Source organism: Homo sapiens, chromosome 12 (genome assembly GCF_000001405.40).
Source record: "Homo sapiens chromosome 12, GRCh38.p14 Primary Assembly".
Taxonomy (NCBI): domain Eukaryota; kingdom Metazoa; phylum Chordata; class Mammalia; order Primates; family Hominidae; genus Homo; species Homo sapiens.
The window spans coordinates 58,179,266-58,186,669 of NC_000012.12; positions in this window are offsets into that span (position 1 = coordinate 58,179,266).

The window sequence follows — 7,404 nt, forward strand, 5'->3', positions numbered from 1 at the left end:
TGACAGGTAAGCAAAAGTGAAATTTTAATGAGGGCTTGGAACAACACTTTTTCCTCTTTGATTCCTCAAATGACTGATGGTTTGTCATTTTTAAAAGGGCTTATATTTTGCACTGTCATTATGCTAGGTATAATGCCATATATTCTCTCCTATGAGGTGGTTTCTCAAATAGAACATACCTGAAGTTTTCCATCTCCCAAGGAAAAATGCTCATAGCATTACTTCTTGAAGTGCATAGTTCTTATAAAACAGTAATCTTCAAAATCTTTTGCTTTATTGAGAAATAATTTACATGCACAGACCTTAAGTTCAATGACTTCTGACAAATATATGCACCCATATATCATTATTGAAATTGAGATACAAAACATTTTTATCATCCTCAAAATTTTCTGTGTGGTCTTTTTAGTCAAATTCTCTCACTAAAGACAACCACTATAGATACGGTGTTTTTTTTTTTTTTTTTTTTTTTTTTTTTTGCGTTGTCTTCAACTTCACTTAAATGAAAGAATACAATATTTACTTTTTTACTGACTATTTTTTCCCATTCAACATACTGTTTTGAGCTTCACACAGGTAACACATAAGGTGGTGAGTTATCACAGTCATGGACATGGTGCCAGAGAAGCAGCAGACGGTGCACAAAAAAACCTGTGTGGGTTAGGCAAGGTCTCCTAGAGGAAGTGATGCTGAGTTGATCCCTGAAGACAGGTAGTACTTCAGGAGGTGGGCCTTTGGGAAAAATCCTTTATCTGTCTTCTGACCTACACATATATGTCAGCACTGTGGCCTAGGGCAGAAAAGGTGCCATTAAAGGTGGGTAAAATGGGAGAGAGAGCAGATAGGTTTTCCCATCATACACCTGTGCCTGATATTAGCCCAGGTGAAAACGAAGCAGGCTGTCTGAGGTGGGCAGATAATGGCAGATTGTTTTTGAAAGTAAAGATCACAAAGATGCAGAATCCACAGGGTGCCAACTTCCGGTGAGAGGAATTTCAGGGTCCTTGAGGCCTGGGAGGCCCTGACACCACTGAGTGCCATTGCTCTGCACTAGGGCTGCTCTCTGAATTCAGTGCATCTTTGAACATGGCTGCACAGGATCACTGATTATGCCGTTGAAAGGTGTGTTAAGCAATTTTCTAGTTCTCTAATTTTAGAGCGGAAGAAAACGAGTGACTCGCCCAATGCTACACCATTGAGTGGGGACTGGTGTGCATGCTTTCTTGGCTAGCAGTCTGGACTGAGAGTGACAGTGATAAAGGCAAATGACTAGCCATTTGGTCTGTGGCACTTCTGGAGAATGAAGGAGGGTGGGAAAGGGGCTGGATTTTGTCAATACTTAGGTGTTGAGGAGGGTGAATCTGGCAGGGACCACACATCAGCATCAGCAATACATTGCCATTATCTTTCATTTTCACAATTGTGCTTAGTGTGGGCAGAGATAGATCTTTGGGATCTTGACTACCCTTTTCATCTGGCTTAAAGCCTCTACCTCCAAATGGTAAACACATCTCTGGAGCCCTATATCAGCCTAGTTCCAGGCTGCTGCAGGTTTCTCCTCCTAGGTATTCCAGGGAGCTAATGCTACATTGAGGAGGCAGTGCTTCTGTGAGCCTTACACCTCCCTGGTAAGGTTTATTGTTTAGACTCTTCCTCTGAGCTGACATTCCATGGGAGTAACAACATTGGGAAGATAGAATCCTAGCATTTTAGAGCTGGAATCCAGGCCATGTGAAGGTGATATAAATAAAAAGAGAAGAGGCTATATACATTTACAAACTGGGATACTCAAGGTACATTTGGGAAGGACCTGGTTTGCTTTTTGTTTGTTGGGCTATAAATCCCTCTTCTCCCTCCCTTCATTCTTCACCACCCCAATGAGATATATGCTTGGATGGTATTTTATAAACAACAACAACAAATGACAAGAATAGAGTTGTATAGAAAGCCAAAATATAACAGTAAAGTACAGAAGATATAAGCTTATTTCACTTTCTGATCAAGTCTGGGTAGCTGGTTCAGAGGTATGCCACTCCACGGTGTCAGAGACGAAGGCTTCTGCTGTCTTGTTGTTTGACCATGTGTGACTGCAACCTTGAGATCCAAGATGCCAGGCTTGTATTCTAAGTTGCAGGAGAAAGAGGCAAAGAACAAGCAAAGGGCACCCTCAGACGCTTTCTCTTAAGGATGGTGAATGACAACTACTGCCTGACTGCTATCTGCTTTCCATGGCCATGATAGTCACCGGCCAAGACTCCACTGAAAGGGAGCCTGGGAAATGCAGCATTTATTTCAGGTAGCCCAGTGCCTAGCTAAAAATTGGGAGCCCTTACAGCAATCATCAGCCACATGTACCTGATGTCACATGATCCTCACATTAGCTCAGTCAGATGGACATTGTTGACCCCTTTTGACAAATAAGGAAAGCAAACATCAAGGAGGCCATGCAGGAGGTGCCTGAAGCTGAGCCCAGGTTTTCTGATTGTTAATACTGCATCCATCCCAAATGGGATACATGGCCCCTAATGCTTAGCAGGTGCTTCACACGTAGTAACTATTCAGTAAATGATAGTTACTTTTATTTCTGTAACCATACATGGTATAAAGCAGACCTCTTCTCTTGGTTTGGATTATCTTAGAACTCTTTTTAGTTCCTGGGGTCCCAGTCTTCTGTAGTATGTACCTCTCTCATATCGCAGGGTAATTTCAGCCCTATGACAAGAGCATGTCTCTCCCAGACAGAAGAGTCTACTTAAATATTTGAATTCCTTGGATCTGCATTGCTTTCCAAAGTGAATCAAGCCAATAGTGTATGAAGGGCAACGGATACACCCAAATCTTAATAATTAGATGGGTTTTCTCATTTTGGTCTCGTTAGTCAATTCAGTGCAGTACAATTAAATCAGGAGAGAGGAGACATTCAGGCAAACCGCTTCTCTTCCAGCCTCCAGCCTCTCTCTCCTGCGCTGGAACATTGTGGGATGAGAGATTTTCTTTCTGCCTGAGGTAGCCAATGTGCAGAAGCTTAATAGAGTTGAATGAGTTTTGTTTTCATGGGACCAAAGGTTATGAGATTGTATTAGGAAAAGGATTAATACAGGTGGTGAAATTATTGAACTAATTGACTGATTAAGTCATGTAAATCTGGTCTTAGAGGTGGCTCATAGCAATTGAGTGTTATGTGAACTATACTATCTCTTTATTTTGCTTTTTAAAATAACCTTTTCCTATGCCTGAGAATGGACCATGGACACCAAATTTAATATTAATTCTCTACAATTCAAATGTATTGTCTTCTACTTGTTAATCTTATGGCCACTTAGATATTATCTGACTAAAAGAAAGGTCTTGCAGTTTGTATATATTTAAAAAGCCATTTTATATGGTTATAAGATTTTTCTCATCATAAGATTTTCTTTCCTCTTTATTGCCCCTTTATGGCTTAGCAAAGACAATGCAAGTCTAAGAGTGTTTTGAACAAAAAAGAACATGAGTATATGAATGGAATATCTATTTATTGAATTGAATCATTCACCTCTACCTCCCAAAATACTTTGCCAAGAAGTGTGTTATTCCAAACCTCAGTTAGTAAAGCTACTTCTGAAAGCCTCAGCCATTGCTTTACACAGACAGTGGGAATATGCAGATGAGAGCGCAGTCTCTGTGAGAGCTGGTGTAGAATGGTGGTGAAGACTCTGGCCCTGGCCCCAGCCTGGCTGCATTTGAATCTCAGCTCCTCCATTTGAATCGCAGCTCCTCCACTTGCCAGCCATGTCACCTTTACTTAATTTCCCCATGTCTCAAATTACTATCTGTAAATTAGGGTTGACAATAATAATAGTTAACTTGCAGGGTTTTGAGAATTAAAAATAAACCTGTATTATATTTTACAGTGCCTGACACAAAATAAATGCAAACATCAAGAGCTGGCTATAATTATTTGGCATTCTTCTCTAAGGCATGGTTTTTACGTGATGTGAACATTAGTGAAAGACATACAGCACCCCTAAGATGGCCTGAGAGATATACAGCATCCCGCCAAATGGCCTGAAGTAGTCGCTAGTTGTGCCATTTATCTCTCAGGATGGCTCACGTGAATGGAGACTGGGGTGGTGTTGCCACCGATGAGGGCTTTGGAGTCCAACGGCTCAGGAATTAAATCTCAGCTCTGCCACTTGTAAGCTGCGTGGCCTTGAGCAGATCACTTACCCCTTCTGAGCCATGGAAAGGATCACCTGGGGGATTGAAGAGGGATAGGATAGCACTTTGCACTTTACCTGGTCCATGGTAAGTGCTCAATAAAAGTTAGGTTTTTATTATTGTGGCTAAGTCCTAGAAGGAGACAATCCAAAAGATTTGAGTAAAAATGAGTAAAATATTTTTTCCCTGTTATTTCTGTATTTTCTCTGAGTGTAAGGTTAAAAAATACCCAAACAAATCCTTTGCTGAAATAATGTCTTAAAAAGTTACTAATGTTAATTGCATGTTGGCTAGTTAAATTCAATCATTCAGAGTATGTGGGAAACCTTTTGACAAATTAGACCAAATTACAGCTGAAGTATAAGAACATGAACATTCCAGTTCACAGCATGTGCAAAAATATCATTATAGGGCTGTGTCTATGCACATACGATTAAAAAATCTACATTTTCTTAATCACCAGTTTGATGAAATTATTTTGCTTTTCAAACAGTTGATTTGTTACCATGTTACTCAAACTAAGGTATAAATTAAGCTATATACATATTTAAATACAAAAATCACTATTGTGGATAATTTGTCCACAATTTTGTGTGTCACACTGGTAAACTGTTGTGAGGTGAGAACATAATTACATGTACAGTATTGTATACAGCTGTCTTGTAGCTGTAACAACCACTATATTTTGCATATTGTATTACATTAACAAATACTGATTGCATTTAACATGCAAAGTAGCTTGATAAACTCAGAAGGAAGCTTAAGGCAATTCTCCCAAAACTTGCCTTAAATAAATGGCTTTTTATTTTAACCCAGTTCAAACAATTACTCAATAGTGAAATAAACTCTCTCTGATAGTTTTTCACATGATGTGAAAAGGGATGGAGAAAGCAATTGAGCTCCAACAGCCTGAGAACAAAGCTCTGGCCCTCTCCTCTGCCCTTGGCTCCCCTGGGTACCCACAGGCTCTGGGGCTCCATTATTCCTGCTCCAGAAAGTACATTAGCTTCATGGAGAAACCACTTGGTCCCTCTCAGTGGCTCCCTGTGGGTTGCTGGTCATTTGGGACAGACATTAGTGGCAAGATTTTGCCAGTCCATCTAGGCTGTTCAATGAATGCTAACTATCATCAGAAGACTTTATTAGAGAGTTCCTGGTTTTTGTTTCATTGTAAGTCTTTCTACATGAAAATTATAAAAAGAAAACAGATTTAAGAGATTTACTGTAAAAAAATATTAAAAAATGAATGTAAATAGAACCCACAATCACACCTTTAATTCATAAATACTACATCATAGTATATATCTTATTATGAGGACTTTAAAAAAACATATGGTCTTGGAACTAAGAGAAAACCTGGAATGGTACCATATTGCTTTAAATGAAAAATGCTGGCCAGGCACAGTGGCTCATGATTGTCCTCCCAATAATTTGCAGCAATTTGGGAGGCTGAGGTGGAGGATCTCTTGAACCCAGGAGTTCAAGACAAGCCTAGGCAACATAGTGAGACCCTGTCTCCACAAAAAATAAAAAAATTAGCCAGGCATGGTGGCACACGTGTCTGTGGTCTCAGCTATTCAGGAGGCTGAGGTAGGAGGATGGCTTGAGCCCAGGAAGTCAAGGCTGCAATGAACTGTGATTGCACCACTGCACTCTAGCCTGGACAGCAGAGACAGACCCTATCTCAGTTAAAAAAAAAAAAAGCTGGAATGAGTTCTTAGGATTAACTAGTCTTCAGTTCCAGCCTTTTCTGTCCAGCCAAGTAGTCCCATGCACTACTTGGCACATATTGCATTCCCCACCTCCCTGTTTCCCAGTCAGCATTTTAAGTTTAAATCTAACTTGCTATCATAACACAATAATAGTTACCATTTATTGTTAGCTAACTATATACTAAGCACTACGTTAGGCTTTCTGACATTTCATTCTTACAACTACTCTACAAGGCAGATACCCTCATTTCACAAATTAACAAAAGATGAGGTGTAGTGAAGCGATGAACTTGTCCAAAGTCACATGTTAAGTGGCAGAGTGAGAAAATCAAACTCATGCCTGATATTTAAAGCCTTTTTCCATATGGATCCTGTTAGGAAACTCCTCACTCTGACCCTATAAGTCTATTTACTGTTCTCCAACCTCTCCATCAGGATTTTGTGTATATACTACCACTCTGTAAGATCCAGTTAAGTCCATCTTCACTCATTTACCCATTCATCCATTCATTTAACATTGCTTGCATATTGCAGGCACTGTGCTAGATGCCACTAGGAATCATTTCCCAGTCTATGCTGTTTCCTGATGGCCATATCATCTATTGTATATTTATCTTCCTCTAGATTATAAACCAATTGTTCTGAACCAGTGGTGGTGCTGTCACTTTAGAGAACACTGGAAAATGTATGGCAATCTTTGTCATTATAATGACTGTCATGTATATTATAATGAGGTGCCACTGGCATTTATTATCCAGAGGCCTGGAGTATTAAATATTGCCCAACGTGTGGGATAGGCCTGCACAATGGAAAATTGTTTCACCCAAAATGGTTATAGTACCCTCCTCTAGAAACATGGTTGCAAACAGATCTAGGGCAAAATCTTTTTATAAACTTTCTGTATCTTTATCAAGCCTGGTATCCTGCTTATAGAGAGTGTTGGTTAGCTGAAATGATGACGTTCTTTTCATTAACTAAAAATTTTAAGCAGCATTTTCAGAGAGAGATTCTTTAATTGGAGATGTGGAATGTGATGTGTTTTCTAAGATTTATTTAGATAAAAGAAAATCATGTTTTCTAAAACAAATGGAAACCCCTCTCTGCATATGTGAAATCTTGACATTATAGGAGTACAAAAACTCCTTCCTTGACTCATGAATCATTCCCCCATAATATTCCCATAAATTTCTTAAATAACCTGGTAGAGTTCCCTGCTGTTACTAGAGTTACATCTACTTGTTTTCTAGGCCATGAACCAGAACTACGACCCCTTTAAGATCCATTAACTTTAAGCAGATTAATGAGATGATAAAAGATAGTTAAGAGAAACTATATATTCATCTGTAGTGGACATTTGTTCTTTTTATTTGGTCGTCTAGTATCTAATCTCCTTTCTTATTTTTGGAGAATCCCTCATTAGATGTAGTCTTGGTGGGAGACAGGATCTCCATTACACCATTCTTGGATGCCAGGACATGAGCACATGAATTAG